The 11,228-nt window shown below is 41.9% G+C and overlaps 1 protein-coding gene across 3 annotated transcripts in view; it reads left to right on the top strand.

The window, feature by feature from the left end:
- Positions 1–11,228, top strand: part of SLC2A12 (solute carrier family 2 member 12) — a 65,044-nt gene continuing 53,816 nt past the window's right edge. For all 3 annotated transcript variants that reach the window (NM_145176.3, XM_017010311.3, XM_006715349.5), the window contains exon 1: positions 1–247. In NM_145176.3, coding sequence (NP_660159.1) covers positions 145–247 — 103 coding nt within the window. In that variant the 5' untranslated portion in view covers positions 1–144. The remainder of the gene's footprint in view (positions 248–11,228) is intronic.

Genomic DNA, 11,228 nt, shown 5'->3' with positions numbered 1-11,228 from the left:
GGTCACAAATCACATTAGCTTTGCCCGAAGTTTTTCCCCACACTCTTCTTTAGCATGCTATTATGGGGAAAGTGACCACTCCTGGGAGCGGGGGTGGTCGGGGCGGTTTGGTGGCGGGGAAGCGGCTGTAACTTCTACGTGACCATGGTACCTGTTGAAAACACCGAGGGCCCCAGTCTGCTGAACCAGAAGGGGACAGCCGTGGAGACGGAGGGCAGCGGCAGCCGGCATCCTCCCTGGGCGAGAGGTAAAGTGAGCCTGCAGTGCTCGGGTGACCGCAGAGAAGCAAGCTGTACTCATCTCCCGAGTGTACTGTCTCTTGAGTCCCGTGTGTGTGTGTGTGTGTGTGTGTGTGTGTGTGTGTGTGTGTGTGTATGCGCGCGCGCGCATGTGGGCGCGCTGGATGAGTGGAGAGAAGGGGACAGGGTCTGGTGGGACGTGGGACAGCTCGGAGCTGTAATGTTGTGAAGATCGAAGTCTTGGTGGAACCTTATGTGCCAAGAAAATACAGGTTACACATCCACCACTGGTATGATGGGTCCCCTTGATTGTGTTTACATAATACAATGTATGGATGTTTTTCATATTGGAACGGTCCACTGGCAAAGATAGTCTCATTTGTAAACACACACAAGCACACGCTTGCTTACACTTTTTCATTTATTGTCACAAATGGACACTGTGTAACCAGTTGACATTATAACCACTGTTTTAAAAATCAGTATTTTAAACAGGCTTCATAAAATTATTAGTTATGTAATCAATGAGAACACAAACTTCCTTTTTAAATTCCCAGCACGTTTGTGATGAATTTGAGCGTTATTCAGAGCCTGAAACGCTTGCTTTGCTGGGTTCTGCCTTCTTTAAAACTGGCCTTGCAAACTGAGGTTTGTTTGCTATGATGACCTTCTGAAGGTGAAATTTGGAAAAGTTTTAATTCATTTAATGATCTTTGATAAATCAGAGGCTGGTCTTCACTTCCACATTTACAATTCCCACAAATACATTGTACGCTTTTTGCTGCCTCTTCCTGCTCATTTAGTTTGTGCTGCAAGGAATAGAAAGTAATTGTAATATGAAATGACAACAAACACAAAAAATCTTCTCTTTCCTACTACTTTCCTCAGCTGTGTATTCTTAATCAGATATTACATTCCCAAGCAGCATATAGAAATTTCATGCAAAATCCAATACACTAAATGATACAAAAGACATCTGCCTTTCTCTTGGGAATGGTCCTAATACTGACGTTTGCCTTGTGGGTTTGTCTGATCTTGGGGAATCGAACCTGTGACCCCTAACATCGAGGCATGAAGCGGCCCTCTTCAGGAGTGGAGAAGCCCTCCATCTTCCATGTCCTGATCTCTTCTCTTGCTTTCACACTTCTCGTCAAGAATGAGGCCGGGCGTGGTGGCTCATGCCTGTAATCTCAGCACTTTGGGAGGCCAAGGTGGGCAGATCACTTGAGGCCAGGAGTTCAAGACAAGCCTGGCCAACAGAGCGGAAACCCTATCTCTACTAAAAATACAGAAAAATAAAAAAATTAGCTGAGCATAGTGGCACATGCCTGTAATCTCAGCTACTCAGGAGGCTGAGGTACAAGAATCACTTGGAGGTTACAGTGAGCTGAGATCATGACACTGCACTCCAGCCTGGGTGACAGAGTGAAACTCTGTCTAACATAATAATAATAATAATAATAAAAGAATATCTGGGGTCATCTTTCAATATGGCCTGTCCTCTCCTATGCAGAAGTACCCTTTTCCCTAAGCGCTTGCTACTCATTGGCCCACAAGTTCCCTAAGAGCAGGCAAGGGAAACTTATATTTGGAGATAAAGGGAAAGAGTTGCAAAGTTCTTTTCTCCAAATTCCTGGGAACATGAGCTGCAGTCTAGACTGCAGAGCAAGCTGAGGTGGTGATGTTAACAAAAGGGCTCACTAAATACAGTCAGTGATAATGTCACAAAGAAGATGAAAAGAAACTGCCTAGGAAGAGCCTTTGTAGTAACCATTAAAAATGGACTGTTTATTTTGATATGGCTTTGAAGGTACAATGTGCTCTTAATAGCTTATATTGTACAAATTCACAATTATCCAGAAGAAAGATAATGTGTATTTACATTTGCAATAGTTGGTTACATGCACAAAATTCAACTTAAAGTGCAACTGTTTATGTTGTAAAGAAATAATAAATGAATAAGTACCATAAATTATCTTTCAAATTTAATTTTAAATTAACTTTCATTTTGTAGAAGAGAAAGCCTGAATGTTTCCTTAAAATGTCAGATGAATACAACTTTGATTTGTGCTATACATAATCTGCATTTAGATGAATGCAAACCTTTTATTTTCTACTTTTGTAAATTTTCTTAACTTATCTTAAACATCTTTTGGCACCCAAAAGCAATTATACATACATATGTATAAATGAATGCATAGTGCAGACTTGCTGTATGGTTTTCTTAAGTTACTTAAAGTCTCCATTCATTAATATTGGGATTGTATCTTCATCTATTTTATGAAGGTGTTGAGATTTAATGAGGTAATATTTGTCAAATACTCCTTTTGGCTTCTTCATATTTTCAACTTCCATAGTTTTCATTTAAGACATTCAGAGTATTTAAATTATGCTCAACAATTATCACAATATGTCTGCATTTGAAGGTAGCAAGCTTTTCTACATTCCTAGATGGAAAAATCAAAGCACAAAGAGGAATGAGTTATATAACTCAGGACAAGGTAATTAAATCATGTGAGATACTGAAAAACAAAACAAAACCAACCCCCTAAGGTCTGCAGTTGAACTCCCTTGATGCTATTGTGCACAGTGAAAAATTTTGGTAGGTCTTTCTTGACTAACCCTCTTTAACTGAAAAGAATGCTTTGTTCCAATGACTAGAAGCTAATGAACTTAATTCATTTTCAATAAGCTATGACTCAAAGTGGTTACATTTTTAGTAAATTTTTTCAGCTTTCATGGACATGTTCCAATCCATCTTAATATAGGACAGGATTAAGCTCAGTTTGAAATTCTGGTGCCTAGAGTTGACAACAGATATAAATGAAGTGAGATATTAGACGGATGGAGCAACTCACACAAGGGAAATCTGAGGTCAAAAGATGTGTGATCGGCCCACGGTCACACAGAGGATGGTGCAGAACTGACCCTGGTGGCCTCTGGCCCAGGAGATTCAATACTGACTTCTACTTCAGCTCCCAGGCTTCCTTTATTTCATGATCCAAACAATTGGCTGGGGACAGAGTCCTCTTAAGTTTCCCTTCACCCCCAACTGTCCAAAGGTTCAGAAAACAAGAACAATATTTACTGTATGAGTGCAGGTTGTCAGCACTGCAGAACTCTCTGGCACTGGGACCCAGAACATGAAGAACGGGACTCACGAACTCAGCTGAAAGGACTGTCCTTTATCCCCTCTGAAGATGCCACAGTCTGGAATTTAAGAAATACACGCTTCTGCTCAGCAGATGAACATTCTAAGGCAGTTGTTCTCAAAACGCTTTTAAAGCTGTGAACTCCTTTTTCCTAAATGGAAGCTGGGCAGGTGGTGAGTATGTAAGATGTAACTGTAACTAAGTTCCTACTGAGTGCTGTTCTCCCGGGTTTAGCTTAAAATGGGCCCCCTGGAATTTCGTCAGGCCTGGCTTTCTCAGGCTTCGTCAGTCAGCTCTAGGGGAAGTCAACTTGTAAAAGAGACGGAGACTTGGAAACAAACTCATCCTTAGGGAAGAGGGAGTCAGGCCAACCAGCTTGGGCAGATGTCAGAGCTTTGGTTGTGAGAAGACAGATTCTAGTAAGAGGCCAGTTACCTTGGGCAGACCCAGGCATCTCAGAGTTTTTGATGCTGGGCCATTCCCATTTTTCCACACTTTCTATATATTAAAAACAATTAAGCATCAAAACCCGTGACAAAAATTATAGTGCTTTAAAAACATATGTATTTAACAAGTCAACATCTGATAACAATGATTGTGTCTACTGTGATACGTATTTCCAAGGAAATAACAGGTTTTTTTGTTGTTGTTGTTTTGTTTTTTCTGAGATGAAGTCTCGCTCTGTCACCTAGGCTGGAGTAAGATGGCGCGATCTTGGCTCACTGCAACCTCTGCCTCCCAGTTTCAAGTGATTTTTGTGCCTCAGCATCCTGAGCAGCTGGCTAATTTTTGTATTTTTAGTAGAGATGGGGTTTTACCATGCTGGCCAGGCTGGTCTCCAACTCCTAACCTCAGGTGATCCGCCTACCTTGGCCTCCCAAACTGCTGGGATTACGGGTGTGATCCACAGTGCCTGGCTGGAAATGACAGGATTTTTAGACGTGTTCATTTATGGAGGACCACTTGCTCTTCTGTGTGGTCATGAGACCAGATTTAAACATAAATATCTCCCCTTTCAGTCCAGTCAGCGTATCTCTGTGACTGTACATTTAACCTCACTTGGAAATCACATCAAAAGTCTAGATTTGAGGCTTTTCACCACTGTGAGCACTGGGCAAATGGCTCCTCTGGGATCTCTTGGGAAGGGAAAAGGCTGCGAACATGGTGGGAGATGTTTCTCTGCAAACTCTGGGTGCTATGCATCGTACGCGGCAGTGGTCTTGCTCCTCTCTAAGGATGTGTCACCCAGAGAGAGCAGAGAGGTTGCCACAGACCCCCTCCCAGGCTCTGAAGCAGCAGCAGACACACGCTGCAGGAAGCCTGCCCTGCCAGGGCCTGGCAGAGCCAGACCAAGCCAGCCTGAGAGCAGCCGGCCAAGAGGTTGGGCCCATCTGAGCAGGCTGAGATTAGCTGGTGCACACCAGCATGCCTGAACCAGTTTTTACAGCCATTCTGATAGGTCGGTGCCTCTGTCCTAGTTGTTAAATATTCTCAACATCACCGTTCTCTCTGTCAGATTACCAACAGTTGCTGAAGCAGCTGAGAGCCCAGGAATAGGCCTGGTGGTAGCTGATAGGACCTGAATATGAGCCCACAGGGTATCTTTCCTGTGAATTCTCAAGAGGGTGGTCTTTAGTGGTCTAGAGCTTACACTAGTTGGTAGAGACAGAACTCAAAATACACTGAATCTACCTTGGAGCAGCCGAAGGAAGCTGAGATTTGCATGTGTAGATAAAAGATGAATCCACCAACTTGAAATTGCAATTTTTAATTGCTGTAGGTATGTAGGATTTTATTATTCATTCAAGAATAGTTCATTTTAGAATCACGGTTTCATAGGGAGCATTTTCTCGGTACTATCTAGCCTTTGGGTTAAAAAAGTTCTGAGAGCTCTAAAGGGCCCTCCATTACTATGCAACAGTTGAAACAGCTATTTACTCAGTGTATGAGCAAGAACGGGTTATATAAGATTTTAAAATTGAATAGAGTCAGAGCTCCTTCATTCAGTATTTTTTCTCATGAACAGTCTCCCCCAGAAGGATGAGTTATTGAAAAAATTAATGCAATGGAAGCCACTTAAAAGATACCAAGTTATGGTGATGAGAAAGGAAAAGTTGGAATTGGCTCCTTCCCAAGAGGCTATTTGACCAAATATCAAATGCGGATGATTTTTCATCCCTTCTTCCCTTCAAAAGTACTCAATATCAGTTAATGTCACTGAACGTGACATCCCCCAAAATACTTCCCAGCTGAAACTGAGTCAAATATATTACCTTTAGAGTAAATCATAAATTCAAATTTTTTTTCTGTATTATTTTGTTTTGCCTTTGCACACTGGTATCATTTTTCTTCCCATGTTGTAGCACACTTATTTTATGCATTTGCTAAATGACTATGCCCCAGTAATACTAATCATTCTTTTTAAAAATGTAAGACAGAGTTTTGCTCTGTCATCCAGGCTGGAGTATAGCCTCAGCTCACCGCAACCTCCACCTCCTGGGTTCAAGCAGTTTTCGTGCCTCAGCCACCCAAGAAGCTGGGATTACAGGCACTCACCACCACACCCGGCTAATTTTTGTATATATATATTTTTTTTTAGTAGAGACGGTTTCACCATGTTGCCCAGGCTGGTCTCGAACTCCTGGCCTCAAGCAATTCACCCGCCTCAGCCTCCCAAAGTGCTGGGATTATAGGCGTGAGGCACCGCTGCCCACCTAATTATTCTAAACAACTTAGTAGAAATAATAGTAAGACTAAAATAATTTATTACATCATTCTAGTTTTAGGAGATTTCATTATTTTTGAACAATGATTTATTTTATACTGTTTTGCCAAAATTCCACGGAGAAAAATGCAATTCTTGTTTGACTTTTAGGAATATATTTTTTAAGTAAAGCAAGTGTAATTTAATTTTAAACTGTTAAATTGTGATTGCCTTGGAAGTAGCTGCTTCTCAGACAACTCATGACTCAGGTCTGCCTGGCATCACTGGGCTCTGGAGCTGTTAGCAGTGCCCATTATTATTTTATACAAAATGTCTTGCTCCCACACACATTTCCACACTTTATGGAAGTTAGAGTTGGGAGTTATGAGTAATACTAATTAAAAAACCATGACAGCTCAGCTTCAGATGTGCAAAGTTTTTCAAGAACAGGGGAAATGGAAGTTGTAATTAGGGTCAATTTGTGTGGTGAGAGAGCATCCTCACACTAATGAAATGTTTTATTTATATTGGGAAACTAAGCTGCAGAAACCTTCAGACAAAATCACAGGAGGAATTTTTCATGCTGCAAGCCCAATTATGTAGGTACTGCCAATTTTGAAAGCAAAGGAATTCAAGAATTTATGAAAGACACAATTGTTATGCTGGAAATAAGGTATTATTTTATTTCTGTTGCTATCAGTAAAAGACTGTTTCAAAGCTTTACCTCCGTATTATGAAGATTTTACCTTCTAGATTCAGATTAAAGGAGCTTTTGTTAAATGATTCTTGTGGGCCAAGTGGTTCTACTACTGTAATCCCTTCAGATCTTTACAGCAACCCCATGAGGCACCCCAGTTCACAGATAAGGAAACTGAGGCTAAGAACAACAGCTAACATTTACCAATCATTTACTACCAGGTACCAGGGTCTCTTCTGTCTCATTCATTCTTACAACTCTATGAAGGAGGTAATATTATTATCTTTATCTTGTGAATGAGGACACAGAGAGAAACAAACCTTAAGGGACTTATCAAAGTCTAGCCGGTAACTAATTAGGACTCTGATTCCACACTGTTCTTCACCTTCAAGCCCAGGTTCCTCCTGGAAAGAAGCAAAGGGACTTGTCTTGGGTAGCACAGATATTAGAGGACAGCACAGTGATCTGAACCTTACTTTCCTAAATCCAGTCCAGGTTTGCTCTCTTGACCCATATTACCAGCCAGCAATAATGCTTCTACTTTCCAATCTGTGAATTTGGATTCCAGTTACACTCATTTCAGGACTTGTTTGCATTCTGTTTTAGTTAATTCCCTAACTTTTTATGTAACTTGTATTTTTCTATAAGATTATAAGTTTCTCGATAAAATATATATTTCATGCACCTATCAGAGCTCTGAGCTGACTGACAGTGCTTGGAAAGTTCTGTGCAATTCATAATAGGTAGGAATCATGCCTTTTTCTCTGTATTTCCAGCCTACACATGAGGGATCACATCCATGTGGCACAAGTACCACCTTCTAGTGCCATTAAATCCAGATGTAACCTAGGAAACATCTCAACACGATGCTGCCAGCAACCATGAAGGCTGATTGCAATAGCCGTCAATGAAACTTGCCTGCCAGACAGTGCTGGCACATAGTTCATGCTTAATTGTTGAAGGAGTCAATGAGTAAAGAAGCGATTGCTGAACTAAAGAGCATTTTACTTCTGCAAATACATATTGGGCACCTACTACATGAGAGGCACAGTGCTGGATGCTTCAGGGTTAAAAAAAAATGTATCTAAGACATTATTCTTTTTTTTTTTTTTTTTTTTTAGACGGAGTTTCACTCTTGTTGTCCAGGCTGGAGTGTAGTGGCGCTATCTCGGCTCACTGCAACCTTCACCTCCTGGGTTCAAGCGATTCTCCTGCCTCAGCCTCCCAAGTAGCTGGGATTACAGATGCCTGCCACCACATCCTGCTAATTTTTGTATTTTTAGTAGAGATGGGGTTTCATCATGTTGGCCAGGCTGGTCTCAAACTCCTGACCTCAAGTGATCCACCCACCTCGGCCTCCCAAAGTGTTGGGATTACAGGCGTGAAGCCACTGTGCCCAGGCCTTTATTCTTGTCTGTAGGTTTTACCAACTTATCAAAAAAATAAAAATCGAACTAACTGCAAGATAACCATTCAGCAAATACTGAGTGGATAGTAGGAATCAGATATGATGCCAGACCCTGGAGTCTGGTGAGAAACGAAAGGCATCCTCACAGTGCAGGTGCTTACTGCCAATTAGTGGAGAGCGATGAGGGATCAGGAATCCTTTGATGGAGGAGATGGCTTGATATTATACATGTATTATGTGTAATATCTATGATAGCAAAGGGGGAAGTTCAGCCAGTCCCTGGAGACTCCTGGAAGACAGGATGGCTAAGTTGAGCCGAGCACGTGTAACTGAGGCCAGTAGTTTTACGGAGCATTCTAAGGAGGGAAAATAGCTTGAACATGTTTGGAGAAGAGAGAATGGCACGTTCAGGGAGCTTCCAATACTTCGGAATTCTGGGAGCACAGAGTTCAAAGCAGGGAAAGAGGATGACAAAGGAATCTGAAGCTGGCAGCAGGCACAGCTTCCTTAGCTTACAAAAGATGTCACAAAACTTTTGTGAACTAAGTACCATGAAAACAGGAATTCTTGGGAAGGAGACCATATTAATTTAGAGACATCAAGAAAATTTCTTTTCTTTTTTTTTTTTTTTTTTGGGACAGAGTCTCGCTCTGTCGCCAGGCTAGGGTGCAGTGGTGTGATCTCGGCTCACTGCAACCTCTGCCTCCCGGGTTCAAGCGATTCTTCTGCCTCAGCCTCCCAAGCAGCTGGGACTACAGGCACATGCCACCACACCTTGCTAATTTTTGTATTTTTACTAGAGACGGGGTTTTACCATGTTAGCCAGATGGTCTTGATCTCTTGCCCTGGTGATCCGCCCATCTCGGCCTCCCAAAGTGCTGGGATTGCACGTGTGAGCCACTGCACCTGGCCTGAGAAATCAAGAAAATTTCTAAAAGTGACGGTAGTGGTGACAGAAGTGGGAGTTTTAGAAATCCTCATTTACATGTCTCCAAATTCTACAGCTTTATGGTGTCACCATTCTTTTAATTTTAAAATAAAAATAGTTGCAGGCCCCTTATGGTTAAATCCACATGCCTCCTTCCTCCCCACCAGCCTCCCATCCAAACACACACAGTACACTTCAGGAGTTTCGTGGTTCTGATCACCCTCCTGCACCAACTTCCTGCTTTTTCTGGGTCCTTGCCCTCCACTTCCAGCAACTGGTCTTTTCTCTTATCCCTGCTCCAATCCATTCTTAGATGACAGCAGCCCCCTTTCCTTCATATTCTTGAATCCCATTCATATAAGCTCTTTGTAGATTTTTACTAAGAATTTGAAGAGTGCTGTAGTGCAATTGAATATTAGGTAGGCCCATCCTGAAAATTCTCTTGTCAAATCCACCATAAGGAGTTTCTTTTTTGGGGTGTGTGTGTGTGTTTGGTTTTTGTTTTGTTTTGTTTTGTTTTGTTTTGTTTTGAGACAGAGTGTTACTCTGTCGCCCAGGCTGGGGTGCAGTGGCAGAATCACAGCTCACTGCAGGCTTGATGTTTTAGGTTCAAGCAATTCTCCTGCCTCAGCCACCCAAGTAGCTGGGATTACAGGTGCACGCCACCACACTCAGCTAATTTTTTTGTATTTTTAATAGAGACAGAGTCTTACTATGTTGCTCAGGCTGGTCTCAGACTCCTGGGCTCAAGCAGTCCTCCCACTTCTGCCTCCCAAAGTGCTGGGATTACAGGTGTGAGCCACCTAACCCAGCCAGGAGTTTCTTATAAATCAACTTTTAAAAAATCCTCAGGCTTCTTGTCATACTGAGCTCTTGGTGTCTCTCCCTTTCCCCATTCCCCACAACTCGACAACTTGTCCTGACCTTTTCTTCTACTTTTTTTTTTTTTCTATTTCTGGGCTCTCTTAGCCTTTCATTCTCTCTTTCTCTTTCTCTGTCTCACTCTCTTTCTCATCAAAATCCCTCCTTTGTATTCGATAGAGCACTTTAGCCTTTTCTCTCTCCCTCTCGCTCTCTCCCATAGGCCACCTGTCCATTATCAACATGATAACGGTGAGCTTAACCCTTAGTGTTCAGGTGGCCATTCAGGTATTAATTTTAGTAAATTGCTCTTCCTAAAAGGACCTTCATCCACAGCCTTCACAATATAGTTTATGTTCTTCCCATTTCATTTCCCTAATTAAATAATTTAAAAAGCACTACTGGTGATTCTCAACCATTATTGAGTGCAGCAACTCCTTTTAAAATATAAAAACAACTTCAAATCCTCACAAAATTGTCTTCGCAGTTTTATATTTATTGATTAGAAAATATAGAGTGAGAGAAAGTTGCTATGTACTCACTAGCACACTGAATTTTTTAAAAAACAACTTTCCATCCCATTTATATACATTTGAAATTGAGAAGTACAGATACATCTTTTACTATTTTTTCAACATTAAATAATCTTCAGTGGACTGGGGATCCTTTCGGAGATGTCGGTTTTCAAATGTCCATGGCTCACCAAGGCTCACACACATTGAGCATCCCCTTCCTGGAGACGCCAGGGGACTCTAGGAAAGACAGCTGCGGGTTTATTCTCCAGGTTCCCTCCCTCTTTACCATCTATCATCGAAAGTCTCCACAAAAATGCAGACAGAAGTGCAAAATCACCACAGCATTGAAAGCCCGAATATTTGTCAATGAGTTAGGATTTAACAGTAAATAAAATGGGGAGCCTAATGTATAAGATTGGGCCGTAAAATGTTGGATTCCCGTAGACTGCCGCTGTGCATCCTCATTTGACAGAGATGGAACCTTCACCAAGCAAGGAAGGGAAAGAGCTCCTCAGACCCTCAGAGCTGCTTTCTCTGAGGGTCAGAATTTCTTGCCCTAACACCTGATTCTTCCAATCCCATCCCCCATCCTGTCATTATCACTTCCCTTTCTTTCTCTCTCTCTCTCTTTTTTTTTGTTTGACACAACTTTCTTTGTTGCCCTGGCTGAAGGGCAGAGGTAAAATCATAGCTTACTGCAGCCTTGAACTTCTGGCCACAAGCA

The sequence above is a fragment of the Homo sapiens genome, chromosome 6 (assembly GCF_000001405.40).
Source record: "Homo sapiens chromosome 6, GRCh38.p14 Primary Assembly".
In the NCBI taxonomy this organism is placed as follows: Eukaryota; Metazoa; Chordata; class Mammalia; order Primates; family Hominidae; genus Homo; species Homo sapiens.
The sequence above is the reverse complement of the archived record's forward strand: the minus strand, read 5'-3'. Positions and strand labels throughout refer to the sequence as shown.